This window comes from Homo sapiens, chromosome 6 (assembly GCF_000001405.40).
Source record: "Homo sapiens chromosome 6, GRCh38.p14 Primary Assembly".
In the NCBI taxonomy this organism is placed as follows: domain Eukaryota; kingdom Metazoa; phylum Chordata; class Mammalia; order Primates; family Hominidae; genus Homo; species Homo sapiens.
Window position 1 is genome coordinate 31,934,151 of NC_000006.12, and position 17,935 is coordinate 31,952,085.

The 17,935-nt window shown below is 50.9% G+C and overlaps 2 protein-coding genes and 1 long non-coding RNA gene across 8 annotated transcripts in view, besides 1 other annotated feature; 2 read left to right on the forward strand and 1 right to left on the reverse strand.

Annotated features, from left to right (window-relative positions):
• The window catches only part of C2 (complement C2), a 47,890-nt gene extending 36,368 nt beyond the window's left edge, over window positions 1-11,522 (forward strand). For 3 of the 6 annotated variants that reach the window (NM_001282458.2, NM_000063.6, NM_001145903.3), the window contains 13 exons: window positions 16-149; window positions 1,773-1,911; window positions 3,169-3,309; window positions 5,081-5,170; window positions 8,809-8,949; window positions 9,075-9,169; window positions 9,266-9,377; window positions 9,494-9,659; window positions 9,767-9,843; window positions 9,985-10,076; window positions 10,577-10,703; window positions 10,830-10,879; window positions 11,028-11,522. In NM_001282458.2, coding sequence (NP_001269387.1) covers window positions 16-149; window positions 1,773-1,911; window positions 3,169-3,309; window positions 5,081-5,170; window positions 8,809-8,949; window positions 9,075-9,169; window positions 9,266-9,377; window positions 9,494-9,659; window positions 9,767-9,843; window positions 9,985-10,076; window positions 10,577-10,703; window positions 10,830-10,879; window positions 11,028-11,207 — 1,544 coding nt within the window. In that variant the 3' untranslated portion in view covers window positions 11,208-11,522. Of the gene's footprint in view, window positions 1-15; window positions 909-1,772; window positions 1,912-3,168; window positions 3,310-5,080; window positions 5,171-8,808; window positions 8,950-9,074; window positions 9,170-9,265; window positions 9,378-9,493; window positions 9,660-9,766; window positions 9,844-9,984; window positions 10,077-10,576; window positions 10,704-10,829; window positions 10,880-11,027 lie in introns of those variants that run through there. The other 3 variants (NM_001282457.2, NM_001178063.3, NM_001282459.2) reach the window with 3 other exon arrangements.
• On the reverse strand, window positions 324-7,574 carry C2-AS1 (C2 antisense RNA 1). The gene is made up of 3 exons (NR_104191.1): window positions 7,035-7,574; window positions 1,190-1,252; window positions 324-482 (listed from the first exon to the last, which is right to left on the reverse strand). It is a non-coding gene; the product is annotated as a C2 antisense RNA 1 (long non-coding RNA).
• Window positions 11,945-17,934, forward strand: CFB (complement factor B). Its single transcript, NM_001710.6, has 18 exons — window positions 11,945-12,135; window positions 12,223-12,456; window positions 12,857-13,042; window positions 13,198-13,371; window positions 13,592-13,693; window positions 13,795-13,931; window positions 14,224-14,362; window positions 14,680-14,811; window positions 15,093-15,194; window positions 15,270-15,407; window positions 15,900-15,997; window positions 16,136-16,253; window positions 16,469-16,622; window positions 16,718-16,794; window positions 16,994-17,094; window positions 17,191-17,323; window positions 17,405-17,454; window positions 17,725-17,934. The coding sequence occupies exons 1-18, from the start codon at window positions 12,072-12,074 to the stop codon at window positions 17,878-17,880; spliced, it is 2,295 nt and encodes a 764-aa protein (NP_001701.2). The 5' UTR covers window positions 11,945-12,071; the 3' UTR covers window positions 17,881-17,934.
• Window positions 13,176-13,675: an enhancer, noted in NCBI's record as "H3K4me1 hESC enhancer chr6:31915103-31915602 (GRCh37/hg19 assembly coordinates)". NCBI's record gives its function as "activates a minimal SCP1, AML or CMV promoter by ChIP-STARR-seq in naive H9 embryonic stem cells {active_cell/tissue: H9 hESC(naive)}" and the evidence as "EXISTENCE:reporter gene assay evidence [ECO:0000049][PMID:30033119]".

Genomic DNA, 17,935 nt, shown 5'->3' on the forward strand with positions numbered 1-17,935 from the left:
TCCACATTTCTCCAGAAAGCCTGGGCCGTAAAATCCAAATCCAGCGCTCTGGTCATCTGAACCTCTACCTGCTCCTGGACTGTTCGCAGAGTGTGTCGGAAAATGACTTTCTCATCTTCAAGGAGAGCGCCTCCCTCATGGTGGACAGGGTCAGGAATCAGGAGTCTGCCTGCAGCAGAGGCCTTCCTGTGCTCACTATCTCTCTCTGTCTCCTTCCCCTCCTCAGAACCCCACTCACAGCCCACCTCCTCCAAGAAGTCTTCTCAGATTATACTCATGCCATGTAGGAATCATGAATTCAATTTATACAATCATAATTTTTATTCCACAAGCACTGTTGGGACACTGTGCTGGGGCTGGGCGACAGCAAAGATGGAAAGGCTGAGGTCTTACTTTCCAGGAATTCATCATCTAGAACAGTGGTCTCCACAGAAAGGTAGTGAGATAACCCACAGGAGTGAAGCAGAAAAATACTGGTGCCCCTGTGGAATAATTTAAATCAGATTAATAATTTAATATTTAATAATTTCCTTTTAAAACTTCAACATTTTGTGCAGGCTTTAAAATGTGTGTGATAGACTGGGCATGGTGGCTAGTGCCTGTAATCCCAACACTTTGGGAGGCCGAGGCAGGTGGATCACTTGAGGTCAGGAGTTTGAGACCAGCCTGACCAACATGATGAAACCCTGTCTATACTAAAAATACAAAATTAGCCACATGTGATGGCGCACGCCTGTAACCCAGCTACTTGGGAGGATGAGGCAGGAGAATCGCTTGGATCCGGGAGGTGGAGGTTGCAGTGGGCTGAGATCACGCCATTGCACTCCAGCCTGGGCAACTAGAGCAAAACTCTGTCTCAAAAAAATAAATAAAATAAAATAAAATAAAATAAAATATGTGTGATAGAAGTTTGGAAGCCACTGGTTTAAGTTCCTCGCCAGAACTTTGTTTTGTAATTGTGCTTTTCACAATACTTCATGTAACATTATAGATGGTTTTCCCTCCCAGCTACATTTTAAAGAGGGCAGTTTCTGTGCTCTCTTGGGACTCAAAATTAAGTAACTCATTGCACTGCGAGGCGGCAACACACACCAGTTGGAGCAGTGATTGAGAATCATGTGACACATTCAGATCCCACTTCCACCTCCTCCTCATGGTGTGATGGGGGAAGGGGGACAAGGCAACATACCTCAGTTTCCTTATCCATAAAATAGGGGTCATCATGCCCCTCACAGGGTGGAGTGAAGAGAGTCTGTCAAAGAGAAAGATGTTCAACAAAGGTTTCTTCCTTAGCTGCTGCTGTTCCTTATTTTTATTATTATTATTATTATTATTATTTTTGAGATAGAGTCTCTGTCACCCAGGCTGGAGTACAGTGGTGCGATCTCAGCTCACTGCAAACTTTGCCTCCTGGGTTCAAGTGATTCTTCTGCCTCAGCCTCCTGAGTAGCTGGGATTATAGGTGCTTGCCACCATACCAGGCTAATTTTTGTATTTTTAGTAGAGATGGGTTTTGCCATGTTGGTCAGGCTGGTCTCGAACTCCTGACCTCAGGTGATCCACCTGCCTAAAGTGTTGGGATTCAGGCATGAGCCACCGCGCCCAGCCCCTAGCTTCTTCCTAACAGCCATTTCCTAGTGTCTCCCCTGGTCCTTGCCTCTGTCGGTCTCACTCCAGTTTCTCTGCCTCCTCCAGGGCCCTTTGTTTGCTCTCTTACCATCTCCCCTTTGGCTTCAGGGCCCTTTACGCTGCCTCTCACTTGCCCCGCACAGATCTTCAGCTTTGAGATCAATGTGAGCGTTGCCATTATCACCTTTGCCTCAGAGCCCAAAGTCCTCATGTCTGTCCTGAACGACAACTCCCGGGATATGACTGAGGTGATCAGCAGCCTGGAAAATGCCAACTATAAAGGTACGGGTGTCATCACGTGATGGTGATGAGAGAGGAGAAGATGGACCCTCTCAGGGCCTGCAAACAAATTCTGGATGAGTTAAAAAGAGAGTGAGGCCTCTTGGTGGCACCTGAGTCCCACGAGTCTGGGGTAGTTTCAACGTCCAGGGTTATGGTGGGGGAGTCCAGCTGCCCCCAGCTCATAGCTCATTCTGAGATGCTGCAGGTCCAAAGACACTGTGCAGGTCTTCAATTCCTTCCAGTTGCCAAAACCACACTGTCTGGTTTGCATGGCTGCACACTGCCATCTCCCCATGTCATTAGCCACCCATACACCATGTAAAGTGCCTGGTTGGCACTTAGCAAATGGCTGAAGCCACTCAAGGTTTTGGAAACCTCATCTTTGAATCTTGGGACTTTAGTGTGGTCTTGGATTGGGGTTATGCAATGAACATTTCTTTTTTCTTCTTCTTTTTTTTTTTTTTGAGGTGGAGTCTCGCACTGTCACCCAGGCTTGAGTGCAGTGGCACGATCTTGGCTCACTGCAACCTCTGCCTCCAGGGTTCAGGCAATTCTCCTGCCTCAGCTTCCCGAGTAGCTGAGATTTCGGGCACCTGCCACCATGCCTGGCTAATTTTTTATATTTTTAGTTGAGATGGGGTTTCACTATGTTGGTCAGGCTGGTCTCGTGATCCTGACTTTGTGATCCGCCCACCTCAGCCTCCCAAAGTGCTGGGATTACAGGCGTGAACCACCTTGCCCGGCCCTATGCAATGAACATTTCTAAGGTGGAAAGGCTTTTAAAGTTTGAACAAGCAATGATGCCACATCTCTATCTGAATGGCAAATGTCTGAGTTTATCAAAACAATCGATAAATTGCATTTCCAGGCCGGGTGCAGTGGCTCATGCCTGTAGTAATCCCAGCACTTTGGGAGGCTGAGATGGGCGGATCACTTGAGGTCAGGAAACCAGCTTGGCCAACATGGTGAAACCCCATCTCTACTAAAAATACAAAAAATTAGCTGGGCATGGTGGCTGGCACCTGTAATCCCAGCTACTTGGGAGACTGAGGCATGAGAATCACTTGAACTGGGGAGGTGGAGGTTGCAGTCAGCCAAGATCACGCCACTATACTCTAGCCTGGGTGGCAGAGCGAGACTCTCTCAAAAAAAAAAAAAAAATTGCATTTCCAATAATTGGGGGAATAGAGTGATTCCCTACCCCTAGGTGGTAGGTGGGAAGTTTCTAAGAGAGTCCTTCCTTTTGGCATATTCCAGATCATGAAAATGGAACTGGGACTAACACCTATGCGGCCTTAAACAGTGTCTATCTCATGATGAACAACCAAATGCGACTCCTCGGCATGGAAACGATGGCCTGGCAGGAAATCCGACATGCCATCATCCTTCTGACAGATGGTGGGTATCATGGTCTCTGAGTGTGTCTGGAATAGTGGAAGGGGCACCAATATGGGGTCAGAAGCCCTGAATTCTGATTCTCCCTCTGCCTGCCACTTTGGGCCCCAGTTTTGTTTTTGTTTTTAGAGATGGGGCCTTGCTATGTTGCCCAGCTGATCTCAAACTCCTGGCTTCAAGCAATCCTCCTGCCTCAGCCTCCCAAAGTGCTGGGATTACAGGCATGAGCCACCACACCTGGCCCAGTTTCTTATTTATAAAATAGGGCCAGTGTGGTGGCTTATGCCTGTAGTCCCAGCACTTTGGGAGGCCAAAGCGGGTGGATCACTTGAGGTTAGGAGTTTGAGATCAGACTGGCTAACATGGTGAAACCCCGTCTCTACTAAAAATACAAAACCATTAGCTGGGTGTGGTGGCAGGCGCCTGTAATCCCAGCTACTTGGGAGGCTGAGGCAGGAGAATTGCTTGAACCTGGGAGGCAGAGGTTGCAGTGAGCCAAGATCATGCCACTGCACTCCAGCCTGGGTGACAGACCAAGATCCTACCTTGTCTCAAAATAAAATAAATAAATAAATAGAATTAGTGTTGATGATGATGACCGTAACCACAATGACAGCAATGATGATCATGATGGCTGTCCTCCTTTCCTTACACAATTTTTATGGAAAGCTATTTAAGTTGCCTGTGTGAAAGTGCTCTGTGTTAGCTCTTGTTACCATCTGGGAGGTAACTTGGAGATAGATGAGGAAACGTGGCTCTTGAGCAGGAATGTCGAAGGGCACGGATGCAAGGAACAGTCTGTAGTGGATCTGGCCTTGTCATTTGCCTCTTGCTATTGTCCAAATTACACAGTTCCTCCAGGACTTAGTATATAAAATGAGGATACCCACTCTACCTGGGGTTTCATGAGAATTAAATGAGTTAAAGTATAGGAAGCACCTGGCCTGGTGCCTGGAATGTAGAACATTTCAGTAAAAGTGTGTATATATATATATGTATGTATATATATATATATGTATACATACATATATATATATATATATTTATTTTTTTGAGACAGGGTCTCACTCTATTGCCCAGGCTGGACTACAGTGGTGCGATCTCGGCTCACTGCAACCTCTGCCTCCCAGGCTGAAGCAATTCTCGTGCCTCAGCCTCCAGAGTAGCTGGGACTACAGGCATGTGTCACCATGCCTGGCTAATTTTTATTTTTATTTTTTGAGATGGAGTTTCACTCTTGTTGCCCAGGCTGGAGTGCAATGGCGCGATTTCGGCTCACCGCAACCTCCGCCTCCCAGGTTCAAGCGATTCTCCTGCCTCCTGAGTAGCTGGGATTACAGGCATGTGCCACCACACCCGGCTAATTTTGTATATTTAGTAGAGGTGCGGTTTCTCCATGTTGGTCAAGCTGGTCTCAAACTCCCAACCTCAGGTGATCCACCTGCCTTGGCCTCCCAAAGTGCTGGGATTACAGGCATGAGCCACCATGCCCGGCCACACCTGGCTAATTTTTTGTGGTTTTAGTAGAGACAGGGTTTCACCATGTTGCCCAGGCTGGTCTGGAACTCCTGAGCTCAGGCAATCCGCCTTCTTCGGTCTCCCAAAGTGCTAGGATTACAGGTGTGAGCCACCATGCCCAGCCTAAAAGTATATTTTGAAGCTCTCACAGGCAATGTAAATGTTGAGGTTCCCAGGCTAAATGCTTTCCTACTCTTCCAGGGCCTGGGGAAATCCTGATATTACCTAGAAGAATTCTTTATTCTCTTTGTTCTAGGAAAGTCCAATATGGGTGGCTCTCCCAAGACAGCTGTTGACCATATCAGAGAGATCCTGAACATCAACCAGAAGAGGAATGACTATCTGGGTGAGCCCCTGCCACTGCCACCACATTTGTTCTGCTCCTGCAGAGGTCATGAGATCTTCAGCCAGGGATCCCAGCATCTTAGCTATGGTCCAGAGCCACATGGTTTTATTTCTGCGTTGTTCTGTACAAAGGCAACTCATGTTGAAGAGCCTGGGGTCAAACTACTGCCCATGGTCTCAACCTTACCTTCTTTTTTTTTTTTTTTTTTTTTAAGACAGTGTCTCACTGACACTCAGAGTATATTCCTGGAAAGATGTCCACCCATGCCGGCCCAGAAGCTGGTCCAGAAAGTAACGATGTCCACCATGCCACCATGAAGTGCAGTGGTGCAATCATAGCTTACTGCAGCCTCAAATTCCTGGTTTCAAGTGATCCCCTCAACTCAGCTTCCCAAAGTGGTAGGATTACAGGTATGAGCCACTATGCTCAGCCCGTCTTCACAAATTTTTTAAAATTAATTTTTAAATTTTTTTTGAGACAGAATCTTGCCGTGTTGCCCAGGCTGGAGTGCAGTGACTCGATCTCAACTCACTGCAACCTCCACGTCCTGGCTTCAAATGATTCTCCTGCCTCAGCCTCCAGAGTAGCTGGGATTACAGGTGTGTGCCACCATGCCCGGCTCATTTTTGCATTTTTAATAGAGACAGAGTTTCACCATGTTGGCAGTCTGGTGTCAAACCCCTGGCCTCAAGTGATCCGCCTGCCTTGGTCTCCCAAGGTGCTGGGATTACAGATAGGCGTGAGCCACTGTGCCTGGCCAATTTTTAATTTTTTAATTATTATTTTTAATCAACAGCTTTAGACAGAGAACCTTGGTTTCATCTTCAGTGGGCTGTGGCCATGGGCAGTTTCTTCATCTGCAAAAGGGGAGTAGTACTAGGACCCAGCTCACAAGCTGACAGGGGAAGATGCTCAGACAAACACTGCCTGCCTGGCATAGAAAAATGCCCAGCATATGTTAGCCATGACCACGACCGTCGTCGTTATCATCATCATCATCATCATAGCATCTCATGTTTCAGGAAACTTTCCAGGAAGAAGGGACCTCGATTCCCTCTGGGGAATGTCCCTGGTGGTTGCTCTTTCAGCAGCACAGCTGGCTAACTAAGGCTTTGGCAGTTGCAGCCTCTAAAGGAAAAATTCCTCAGGTTCAGACTAAACACAAATTGCACTGACCTTTGATCAGAAAGTAATTTCAGAGAGAGAGATGCTCAGACAGGGAGGGCAGCTGGTTTTGAGCCCCAACCTTTCATCTTCCCCTTAGCTCCTCTCCTTTCCATTCACACTGCCCCCTCCCCCATCACCTGGCCCTCGGGGGTAAGCTGATTCCTCTTTAAAACTCTGGCCCAAGGAAGACAAAATTTAAAGCCCACTCCCTTCCTCCTTAGCATCACTGGACCAAGGTCAAATGCTACAAAAACATTTTATTGAAAATAAGCAGGAAACCAAACGAAAATAGTCAAAGAAAACGCACAAGGCACGATCGTTGTCTAGCTCCAACTGTAACTGTTTCTATCTGGGCCATTGCCAGATTGCCTCCTGGCTGAAGATCTCTTGGTCCACCTAAGCACCTTGCTTTTTACACACAACGCGGGGCTCTCTGAGAACAAAAATGGGCCACAAGGGGTGCAAAGGCTGGGAGAGGAGTAGACTCTGTGGTCTGTCTGAGGGCAGTTCTGACTGGCACCACAGTCGGAGGACAGGCGCGGCCTGTTGTGTGGGTCCAGGGCCTCCAGTGGGAAAACGTGGCTTTAGGCCCTTCTCCCAGATGCTACCTTTTACAGAGGAAGACCAGATCTGAGGTTTAGTTTCCATGTTGTGTTCTGAGTTCTTTCTATTCATTCAGTCATTTAAAAGTACTTACCAAACTACCACAAACCTGGGTGGCTTAGAACACAGAATTTCTTTTTCTTACAGTTCTGGAGGTTAGAAGTCTGAAATCAAGGTGTTGGCAGGGCCGTGCTTCCTCAGAAGGCTCTTGGGAAGAATTCTTTCCTGCCTTTTCCGGCTGCCGGCAGCTCCAACCTTGGCTTGCGGCAGCATAAACCCATTCTCTGCCTCTGTCTTCAACTCGCCTTCTTTTCTGTGTGTGCCTCTGTGTCATTACATGCTGTTCTCTTATATAGATAGGAGACCCACTACCTGTGTCTTTGTGTCCAAATTCCTTTCTTCTTTTTCTGTTCATTTGTTTGAGACAGAGTCTCGCTCTGTCACCCAGAAGCCCAGGCTGCAGTGCAGTGGCGGGATCCCGGCTCACTGTAACCTCTGCCTCCTGGGTTCAGGTGATTCTCGTGCCTCAGTCTCCCAAGAAGCTGGGATTACAGGCATGTGCCACCATGCCCGGCAAATTTTTGTATTTTTAGTAGAGACATGGTCTCGCCATGTTGGCTAGGCTGGTCTTAAACTCCTGGCCTCAAGGCGATCTGCCTGCCTTCGCCTCAAAAAAACTGCCGGGATTACAGGCATGAGTCACCACCATGCCCAGCCAGTTCACTTTTTTTTTTTTTTTTTTTTTTGAGATGGAGTCTTGCTCTGTTGCCCAGGCTGGAGTGCAGTGGTGCAATCTCGGCTCACTGCAACATCCGCCTCCCGGTTCAAGCGATTCTCCTGCCTCAGCCTCCTGAGTAGCTGGGATTACAGGTGTGTGCCAGCATGTCTGGCTAATTTTTGTATTTTTAGTAGAGACAGGGTTTCACCATGTTGGTCAGGCTGGTCTTGAATTCCTGACCTCGTGATCTGCCCGCCTCAGCCTCCCAGAGTGCTGGGATTACAGGTGTGAGCCACCGTGCCCGGCTCACCTCTTCTTTTTTTTTTTTTGAGACGGGGTTTTGCTCTTGTTGCCCAGGCTGGAGTGCAATGGCGCGATCTTGGCTCACCACAACCACCGCCTCCTGGTGATTACAGGTGTGAGCCACCACGCCTGGCTCTGGCTTACCTCTTCTTATAAGGACCTCAGTCATTGGATTAGAGCTCACCCTAATCTAGTATGACTTAATCTTAACTTGATTACATCTGCAAAGACCCTTTTTCCAAATAAAGTCACAGATACTGGGGATTAGGACTCGAACACATCTTTCTGGGGGACACAATTCCACCATTACAGGGAATAAACAGGATAAGAAAACCATAGAACCCAGCAGGTGGTAGGTGACACAAGCTAAGGGGTGTTGCCATGTTGCCCAGGCTGGTCTCAAACTTCTGGCTTCAAGGGATCCTCCCACCTTGCCTCCCAAAGTGGGGATGAAAGTTTGTCTGGGGCATTGCAGTTTTAGACAGGAAGACCAGGGAAGGCCTCACTGAGAAGGTGACATTTGAGCCAAGACTTAAAAAGGTACGAAAGTGAGCCATGTGGAAGTCTGGGGGGGAGGAGTGAACTAGGCAGAGGCACAGCTGGGCAAAGGGCCTGAGGTGTGACCATGCCTATGGATTTGAGGAACTTCAAAGAGGCTGTGTGCTGCAGGAGAGTGAAGGGCAGGGAGTGGCAGGAAATGAAGGCAGACAGGTAGCAGTGGGGAGGACGCAGGGGTCCAGCTCATGTAGGTCTTGATTGGACACAGTGAGTTTCAGATGACAGCCTCCTGTCTCATGGGGTAGCCCCAAAGCCACAGGAGTCTGGTGATTTCCCTCTTCCCCACCAGACATCTATGCCATCGGGGTGGGCAAGCTGGATGTGGACTGGAGAGAACTGAATGAGCTAGGGTCCAAGAAGGATGGTGAGAGGCATGCCTTCATTCTGCAGGACACAAAGGCTCTGCACCAGGTCTTTGAACATATGCTGGGTGAGTGAGCTTTGCCCTCCTTGGTGTGGGGAGGATGGTGAGGAGCCCGCCAGAGGCCCGTGTTGGGAACCTGGACACAGTGCCCCTCACTTGCCTCCTTCCCCATCTGATCCTCACACCCACAGATGTCTCCAAGCTCACAGACACCATCTGCGGGGTGGGGAACATGTCAGCAAACGCCTCTGACCAGGAGAGGACACCCTGGCATGTCACTATTAAGGTACCAGGAAGGAGGGGCAGGGCTTGGATTCCAGAGGTAAAAGCGGCCATGGGCCAGACATACTGCAATCTCTGAAAATCACCTGTTCCCCTGCAGCCCAAGAGCCAAGAGACCTGCCGGGGGGCCCTCATCTCCGACCAATGGGTCCTGACAGCAGCTCATTGCTTCCGCGATGGCAACGACCACTCCCTGTGGAGGGTCAATGTGGGTAAGGCAGGGGATGCACCAGCCTCCTGATCCTGAAGCCACAGATCCTACCACCTCACCCAGCCTCTGGCCCCTGCAGGAGCCCTGGTCTAGCCTAATCTAGTGTATCATTTCCAGGAGACCCCAAATCCCAGTGGGGCAAAGAATTCCTTATTGAGAAGGCGGTGATCTCCCCAGGGTTTGATGTCTTTGCCAAAAAGAACCAGGGAATCCTGGAGTTCTATGGTGATGACATAGCTCTGCTGAAGCTGGCCCAGAAAGTAAAGATGTCCACCCATGCCAGGTGCCTGGAGTCTGGGATGGGAGGGTGCCCTGCAGGGAAGAGTGCTCTGGAGATCCCTGGAAGAGATACTGGGGACAGGCTGGTGTGACCCTTGCTCTTCTCCCCAGGCCCATCTGCCTTCCCTGCACGATGGAGGCCAATCTGGCTCTGCGGAGACCTCAAGGCAGCACCTGTAGGGACCATGGTGAGTGCTGGGACTTATGGTGCTTGAGAGCTGGGGCCGGGGTTTGGGGGTGATAACAAGGACTAGGCTGCAGTCCCCAAGCCAGGAACCTGGATTCTGGGTAAAAGGACCAGCACCAACATCCCCTTCTCTTGACTATAGAGAATGAACTGCTGAACAAACAGAGTGTTCCTGCTCATTTTGTCGCCTTGAATGGGAGCAAACTGAACATTAACCTTAAGATGGGAGTGGAGGTGAGGGTCTCAGGTTGGGGATGCTGGGATCCCCCTGTGACAGCTCCCAGAATGTCTCTCTTCCTTCTCCAGGTCTGGCTGCTTTCTCTCTCTGACGCGGGTCACCCCTCCTCCCAAGCCTCACAAACCTGCTAGGTGTCCCTGGGTCTGCTTATTCTTTTTTTGTTGTTATTGAGATGGAGTCTTGCTCTGTCTCCCAGGCTGGAGTGCAGTGGCACGACCTCAGCTCACTGCAACTTCTGCCTCCTGGGTTCAAGCGATTCTCCTACTTCAGCCTCCCGAGTAGCTGAGATTACAGGTGCCCACCACCACACCAGCTAATTTTTGTATTTTTAGTAGAGACGGGATTTCGCCATGTTGGCCAGGATGGTCTTGAACTCCTGACCTCAAGTGATCTGCCTGCCTCAACCTCCCAAAGTGCTGAGATTACAGGCGTGAGCCACTGCACCCACCCGGGTCTGCTTATTCTACCCTTCTCTCTGGTTCCACCCCTGCTGCAGTGGACAAGCTGTGCCGAGGTTGTCTCCCAAGAAAAAACCATGTTCCCCAACTTGACAGATGTCAGGGAGGTGGTGACAGACCAGTTCCTATGCAGTGGGACCCAGGAGGATGAGAGTCCCTGCAAGGGTGAGTCCCTCACCATGCCTGGATTCCCAAGGGGAAGGCCACCTGTGTCTCTGTGGCCAGCATGCATGCCAGAACACCAGTCCACTGCCCTAGATGACACTGTCTCCTGTCACCCTTTGCTGGCAGGAGAATCTGGGGGAGCAGTTTTCCTTGAGCGGAGATTCAGGTTTTTTCAGGTGAGAAGGTAGAAGCTTGCAGGACCCAGGGGTTACAGGATCTCAGCCTTGTTGGGGGGATGAGGGAGGCCTTTGAGGGATCTAGGGAGGTTGGGGCTTACAGTTGGGGCTGTGGCAGCCTCCCAGCCAGTTCTCTCCTTTTCTCCAGGTGGGTCTGGTGAGCTGGGGTCTTTACAACCCCTGCCTTGGCTCTGCTGACAAAAACTCCCGCAAAAGGGCCCCTCGTAGCAAGGTCCCGCCGCCACGAGACTTTCACATCAATCTCTTCCGCATGCAGCCCTGGCTGAGGCAGCACCTGGGGGATGTCCTGAATTTTTTACCCCTCTAGCCATGGCCACTGAGCCCTCTGCTGCCCTGCCAGAATCTGCCGCCCCTCCATCTTCTACCTCTGAATGGCCACCCTTAGACCCTGTGATCCATCCTCTCTCCTAGCTGAGTAAATCCGGGTCTCTAGGATGCCAGAGGCAGCGCACACAAGCTGGGAAATCCTCAGGGCTCCTACCAGCAGGACTGCCTCGCTGCCCCACCTCCCGCTCCTTGGCCTGTCCCCAGATTCCTTCCCTGGTTGACTTGACTCATGCTTGTTTCACTTTCACATGGAATTTCCCAGTTATGAAATTAATAAAAATCAATGGTTTCCACATCTCTCAGTGCCTCTATCTGGAGGCCAGGTAGGGCTGGCCTTGGGGGAGGGGGAGGCCAGAATGACTCCAAGAGCTACAGGAAGGCAGGTCAGAGACCCCACTGGACAAACAGTGGCTGGACTCTGCACCATAACACACAATCAACAGGGGAGTGAGCTGGATCCTTATTTCTGGTCCCTAAGTGGGTGGTTTGGGCTTACTGGGGAGGAGCTAAGGCCGGAGAGGAGGTACTGAAGGGGAGAGTCCTGGACCTTTGGCAGCAAAGGGTGGGACTTCTGCAGTTTCTGTTTCCTTGACTGGCAGCTCAGCGGGGCCCTCCCGCTTGGATGTTCCGGGAAAGTGATGTGGGTAGGACAGGCGGGGCGAGCCGCAGGTGCCAGAACACAGATTGTATAAAAGGCTGGGGGCTGGTGGGGAGCAGGGGAAGGGAATGTGACCAGGTCTAGGTCTGGAGTTTCAGCTTGGACACTGAGCCAAGCAGACAAGCAAAGCAAGCCAGGACACACCATCCTGCCCCAGGCCCAGCTTCTCTCCTGCCTTCCAACGCCATGGGGAGCAATCTCAGCCCCCAACTCTGCCTGATGCCCTTTATCTTGGGCCTCTTGTCTGGAGGTAAGCGAGGGTAACCTTCCCTTCCTGCTGTCTCCAGCATCCCTCCTTGGCCTTTTGGGGCCAGGCTTCATCAGCCTTTCTCTTCAGGTGTGACCACCACTCCATGGTCTTTGGCCCGGCCCCAGGGATCCTGCTCTCTGGAGGGGGTAGAGATCAAAGGCGGCTCCTTCCGACTTCTCCAAGAGGGCCAGGCACTGGAGTACGTGTGTCCTTCTGGCTTCTACCCGTACCCTGTGCAGACACGTACCTGCAGATCTACGGGGTCCTGGAGCACCCTGAAGACTCAAGACCAAAAGACTGTCAGGAAGGCAGAGTGCAGAGGTTTGAGGGCAATGAGTGTGGGCAGTGGCCTAAGGCAGAAACAGGGCAGGCGGCAGCAAGGTCAGGACTAGGATGAGACTAGGCAGGGTGACAAGGTGGGCTGACCGGGAGTAGGAGCAGTTTTAGGGTGGCAGGCGGAAAGGGGGCAAGAAAAAGCGGAGTTAACCCTTACTAAGCATTTACCCTGGGCTTCCAGGCAGCCCTGGAAGTCAAGAGAACACTCAGAAATGGGGAGGGAGAAGCAGTGGAAATCCATATGGGTTGAGGAGTAGGTAAGATGCTGCTTCTGCGGGACTGGGAATGCGCTGTTTCTCAGTGACATGGTCTCCGAGACCAGGAGGGATACACCTAAGGCAGCCTTTCCCTCTTGATGACTTCTACTTGTCCCCCCTTCTCAAAGCAATCCACTGTCCAAGACCACACGACTTCGAGAACGGGGAATACTGGCCCCGGTCTCCCTACTACAATGTGAGTGATGAGATCTCTTTCCACTGCTATGACGGTTACACTCTCCGGGGCTCTGCCAATCGCACCTGCCAAGTGAATGGCCGATGGAGTGGGCAGACAGCGATCTGTGACAACGGAGGTGAGAAGCATCCCCTCCCCCTACATTGCTGTCTCCCTGACGGCGCCCAGCCCGAGGAGTGGGCACTCGGCTCCGGACACTGTAACTCTTGCTCTCTACCTTGCTCACGGGGCCTCAGGCTTCAGTGCTTACCTCGATGTCTCATACCTCTGCAGCGGGGTACTGCTCCAACCCGGGCATCCCCATTGGCACAAGGAAGGTGGGCAGCCAGTACCGCCTTGAAGACAGCGTCACCTACCACTGCAGCCGGGGGCTTACCCTGCGTGGCTCCCAGCGGCGAACGTGTCAGGAAGGTGGCTCTTGGAGCGGGACGGAGCCTTCCTGCCAAGGTGACCTTTGACCTGTACCCCCAGGTCAGATCCTGGTCTTCCATCCTACTGTCTTCTCTCCCCACCTCAACCCTGCTCTTTCCTCACTTTGTTTAAACCTCCCTGTACAACTATCTCACTTCTGAGCCTTTTATACCCTGGAAACCCATGATCCCCCGTCTCTTTGGTCACTGTATCCCTGACACTCCCAGACATTTGACCTCATTTCTGACTCTCCCAGACTCCTTCATGTACGACACCCCTCAAGAGGTGGCCGAAGCTTTCCTGTCTTCCCTGACAGAGACCATAGAAGGAGTCGATGCTGAGGATGGGCACGGCCCAGGTTTGAAGACAGAGAAGGGAGGCAGGGCAGGGAACTGGGGGAAAATGGAGAAGGGACAGAACTGTTAATGCTGGAGCCTGAGCCACTCTCCTGGCACCCAGGGGAACAACAGAAGCGGAAGATCGTCCTGGACCCTTCAGGCTCCATGAACATCTACCTGGTGCTAGATGGATCAGACAGCATTGGGGCCAGCAACTTCACAGGAGCCAAAAAGTGTCTAGTCAACTTAATTGAGAAGGTGGAATCCTCCTATCCCTGAACTCGGGGGAATGGAATCTCGCTGATCTTCCAGGACTAGCTCCCTGATCATTCCAGCCCCTCTGAACAACAGGGCCCCAGGAAAATCTCCAGGTCCTATTCTGTCCTCCTTCCCTTTTACTTGAAGCAGTTTCTTGACTGGTAATTCCTCCATGAACCTCAGCCCTTGAGCCTCTTACTGAGAGCCTCCCTGTCCCAGCAAAGTCGCTGAAATCTCCCAATCACAGTATTCTATTTTCAATGCCATGGCGCCTTGTTCTCCTCACCCACAGGTGGCAAGTTATGGTGTGAAGCCAAGATATGGTCTAGTGACATATGCCACATACCCCAAAATTTGGGTCAAAGTGTCTGAAGCAGACAGCAGTAATGCAGACTGGGTCACGAAGCAGCTCAATGAAATCAATTATGAAGGTCAGAGGTTAGGGAATGGTGGGAGGTTCACTTTGGGGTCAGGAGGTTCAGGGTGGAGGGGGTCATGAGACTACCTTGAGGGCGACAGGGAGGACCACTTTGTAGTCAAAAGTTGAACAGCAGGATCGTTGGGCAATGGAGGTTAGTGGGAACCTGTTGGGGGCTGGAAGGGCCACTTTGTGGTCAAAGGGAAGTCCGTGTAATGATGATTAACTTAAAAAGTTGAAAGATGTGGGATTTCAGTTGCAGATTGGTCTCTGGGGTTAAAAGATGGCTTGGAAGACCAGGTGAGGTGATGGTCTCTTCCCTCTCCACAGACCACAAGTTGAAGTCAGGGACTAACACCAAGAAGGCCCTCCAGGCAGTGTACAGCATGATGAGCTGGCCAGATGACGTCCCTCCTGAAGGCTGGAACCGCACCCGCCATGTCATCATCCTCATGACTGATGGTCAGAAGGGACCTCTCTCCTGTCCCAGCCTCCCCACCTTCTCAGACCAGCATGTGGCCCTTAAGTCCACTTGTAACACTATACCCATGGTTGGGGCCCTGAATGTGACTCATAGCTGGCTGTTCATCTCTCCTGTGACCCTTCATAAGGAATTCTTCCTAAGCCCTGTGATCAACTATCTCTAACCCTTCCTCAACTTGCTCACCCTGCCATGTGTATCCCTGCCTTTAGCCAGTTTATCTTCCTTATCTCCTACCCTCATGGTCCTGTCTCTTCTGCAGGATTGCACAACATGGGCGGGGACCCAATTACTGTCATTGATGAGATCCGGGACTTGCTATACATTGGCAAGGATCGCAAAAACCCAAGGGAGGATTATCTGGGTGAGTAACCTGCCTAGGACCCAGCACCCCACTTCCTCAGGGCTTGGACCCTCATCCTTCCTTTTTATCCCTCAGATGTCTATGTGTTTGGGGTCGGGCCTTTGGTGAACCAAGTGAACATCAATGCTTTGGCTTCCAAGAAAGACAATGAGCAACATGTGTTCAAAGTCAAGGATATGGAAAACCTGGAAGATGTTTTCTACCAAATGATCGGTAGGGAGATACAAGGGAATAAAGAACACAACTCTCCTCAGGTTCCCCTGAAGTAATTCATTCTTCCTCTACACCTGAAGCTCTAGTTGCCTGGAAAGCCTTCTTCATTCCTCCTTCTCTACCTCAGTGTCACTATTCTTGTTTCCTGGCACTGTTCACTTAACCTTAGAATCACAGAGCTCTGAGCACTTCAGAGATCTTTCTATAGTCCTACATTTGACACGTGGAAACAGAAGCCAAAGGAGGTCAAGGGACAGCAAGTTAGCAACAAGGGTGGGCTTGAAAACAGCCAGGCCTCTGACAGCTTGATCCCAAGTTCTTTCCCTTTTCAGTCCACCATAGCAGTTTTCTCCTAACACGAGGAAACAAATACCCGTGGTCTTTCCCTTTCTCCTTTTGGGCCTTTGCTCCCCATAGACTCCTACCCAAAAGGCTGCTGCCATTTGGGAATGAAGTGTTCCGAGTTTTCAGCACATTCTCCTTCTCTGCCAGATGAAAGCCAGTCTCTGAGTCTCTGTGGCATGGTTTGGGAACACAGGAAGGGTACCGATTACCACAAGCAACCATGGCAGGCCAAGATCTCAGTCATTGTAAGCACAGAATCCCAGTAGTGGGGACTTGGGGGAGGTGAGGTCAAGGTGAAATGGGAGTAGGGGAAGGAAAAAATGGCCATAAGAGATGGTGGTTTGTGAAAGTTGAGCTTTCCCTCTCTACTGTTGTGTCCCCAGCGCCCTTCAAAGGGACACGAGAGCTGTATGGGGGCTGTGGTGTCTGAGTACTTTGTGCTGACAGCAGCACATTGTTTCACTGTGGATGACAAGGAACACTCAATCAAGGTCAGCGTAGGTAAGGATGCAACTGAAGGTCCTGGGCTGCACCTATGCTCTCCAGGCAACACCTCCCACTTTCTACAGATCCTACACTCCACCCATCCTCAATGCAGCCCCATTCCTTGCACCCCAGACCAGTCAGGGATGGGGGAAGACGTGAAGTTAGGAATGACACGGGGCCAGAGGCAGGAAGCTGCCCACAAAGAGGTGGTACCTACTCTCCTACTTCAGGAGGGGAGAAGCGGGACCTGGAGATAGAAGTAGTCCTATTTCACCCCAACTACAACATTAATGGGAAAAAAGAAGCAGGAATTCCTGAATTTTATGACTATGACGTTGCCCTGATCAAGCTCAAGAATAAGCTGAAATATGGCCAGACTATCAGGTGAGAGCGTCCAGATCCCTGAGGAAAGGCTGGGAAAGGCTGGAGGACTGGGGTGAGGAGCAGGCCTGGTTTGCTGTTCTCCTTGTCCTTTATAGGCCCATTTGTCTCCCCTGCACCGAGGGAACAACTCGAGCTTTGAGGCTTCCTCCAACTACCACTTGCCAGCAACAAAGTAAGACATACTTGGCAAGAGGATAAGGATGAGATCCCAAGAGACAAGTGGGGCATGAGAGGGAGGTGCAATAGGAAGAGATGATGCCTGGCCCAGAACCTAGCTCTAGAAGGGCTTAGGGGACATCTACTGAGTGACAAAGGCAATGGGGAGATGACAGTGGTGGGAGCAGCTGAAGTGACGCAGTCTATTCGTCCAGAGGAAGAGCTGCTCCCTGCACAGGATATCAAAGCTCTGTTTGTGTCTGAGGAGGAGAAAAAGCTGACTCGGAAGGAGGTCTACATCAAGAATGGGGATAAGGTGAGAAACGGGCATCCTAAGGAGGCACTCTAGGCCCCAATCCTTCCTAAGCCACTTCTGTTCATTACTTCTCCATGCTTCCCACCTCCCCTACAGAAAGGCAGCTGTGAGAGAGATGCTCAATATGCCCCAGGCTATGACAAAGTCAAGGACATCTCAGAGGTGGTCACCCCTCGGTTCCTTTGTACTGGAGGAGTGAGTCCCTATGCTGACCCCAATACTTGCAGAGGTGAGAGAATGCTCTTTGGTTGTGCTACAAGTGCCCAAGGCCCAACAGTCCTTTTCTCTACAGCTTCTCCTCTCCTTGCAGGTGATTCTGGCGGCCCCTTGATAGTTCACAAGAGAAGTCGTTTCATTCAAGTGAGTCCTCCCTTTCCTATCTGGGGAGATGCCAAGTGGTCAGCATGGGCCCCAAAGCAGGAAAGCTCAATGCATGTGGCTAGTAATTCGAGGTAGGCAGAGCCTGCCTCACCTTAGGACCGCATGTCTTGCCTGCGTGTGTCAAGAACGAGGCTGAGCTGGGTCCCTAGTCTGATTCCTTTAGGTCAGCTAAGACACAAGCAGGAACAGCCATGCTTCCAGGATTAGGAATTCTACTGAATGATCCATGGCACCCCACTGCCTCTGCAGGTTGGTGTAATCAGCTGGGGAGTAGTGGATGTCTGCAAAAACCAGAAGCGGCAAAAGCAGGTACCTGCTCACGCCCGAGACTTTCACATCAACCTCTTTCAAGTGCTGCCCTGGCTGAAGGAGAAACTCCAAGATGAGGATTTGGGTTTTCTATAAGGGGTTTCCTGCTGGACAGGGGCGTGGGATTGAATTAAAACAGCTGCGACAACAC

What these genes read in the sequence shown, in the direction of transcription:
- CFB (NM_001710.6), top strand. Translation starts at nt 12,072, where the DNA reads ATGGGGAGCAATCTCAGCCCCCAACTCTGCCTGATGCCCTTTATCTTG. An exon ending in TAGTCAACTTAATTGAGAAG is followed by an intron (nt 13,932 to 14,223) that starts GTGGAATCCTCC and finishes CCTCACCCACAG; the next exon opens with GTGGCAAGTTATGGTGTGAA. An exon ending in AGAGAAGTCGTTTCATTCAA is followed by an intron (nt 17,455 to 17,724) that starts GTGAGTCCTCCC and finishes CTGCCTCTGCAG; the next exon opens with GTTGGTGTAATCAGCTGGGG.